Consider the following 1291-nt stretch of genomic DNA (forward strand, 5'->3'; position numbering starts at 1 on the left):
CTCCACAACAAAGAATGATCTGATCCAAAATGACAATCGTACCAAAGTTAAGTGACCTTGCCTTAAAATTTTCGCTGGTCAACCAGTAAAGAGAATTCTAACTTAAATTTTCCTTAAAAATCACTTAGTATAAAAAAAGTCACTTATTTATACTAACATAGTATACATCCAGAAGTACTATATATATAACATTAAATATATAATATTAAATATACATATACATATTTAATCCCTTTGAGGCTAGCAATACATTTCCATATAAAGATTTGTCTTTTTCTATTTCCCAGTAATATAATGCTAAAGCTGTTTATTTATCTGGACTAGTTAATTCACAATTATGGATGCTGGTAGCAGCAAAAGTTGACTCAATTTTTAAAAAATACCTTAGCATTTATGACCATAGACTATTGATTTCAGATTTGAGTCTTTACTTGTCTTTAATTATGTTCATTGAATAATGTTCTTGTACTAAGGGCAGGCTTAGAAATAGTGGTCTTGGGAAGCAACCTAGATATCAGGTTGAGCCATATGGTGGTCAAAACTGGTTGAATACTGGCAATTTAATGTGGTTTGACCTGATGTATGCTGTGCAGTTAGATGGCACAAAATGAAAATGAGCTTTAATCCAATCCATGCTTCGAATCACAGTTAGAGCCTTCGTTGGTCCCCAGAGCTGCTGTAGCTTTTGGTCCTGGGTTAGAACTTTTGCTGAGCAGTTGGAGAGGCCGTTTTAATTTTTTGTTTTAATTATTAATGGAATTTGGGAAACTGTCTTTCAGCTCTTTGCAGCGCCAGCCTTTTTCTCCTTTATCTGCATCCACGCATTTCACTGAAGTTGGTCATATAGAACTTGGGCCCCCAGGTGCACAAAATGTGCCCAAGCCTTTAATAGCAAGTAAGTCAACCAGTAAAGAGAATTTTAACTTCAATTTGTGGCCTTTAAAAAGTTGTATCCAGATTTATCTCAGGGTCCTGAAGTAAGAAAAGGAATAGTATATTATAAATGTATTTCTTTTAAGGAGCCCCTAGAGGTAGGGGACACAAGAGAAATGCCAACTGCCCCTTGTTCAACACTCTTGAAGATAAATATTTGCTACATTTTAGTGTAATAGATTTATAAAAAGAAACTTCTGTTTTTTTTAAAAAAAAGACTAAAGACAACATATACTAAAATGATTTGAATTTTACAGATGATACCCTGCTAATATTTTTAGTTCAGCACCATCTGTTTATCTGAAATTAAATTTCTAGCAAATGGTCATGCCAGGAGATGCTGTTTTTATTTTTATGT

The sequence above is a fragment of the Homo sapiens genome, chromosome X, assembly GCF_000001405.40.
Source record: "Homo sapiens chromosome X, GRCh38.p14 Primary Assembly".
Lineage (NCBI taxonomy): Eukaryota > Metazoa > Chordata > Mammalia > Primates > Hominidae > Homo > Homo sapiens.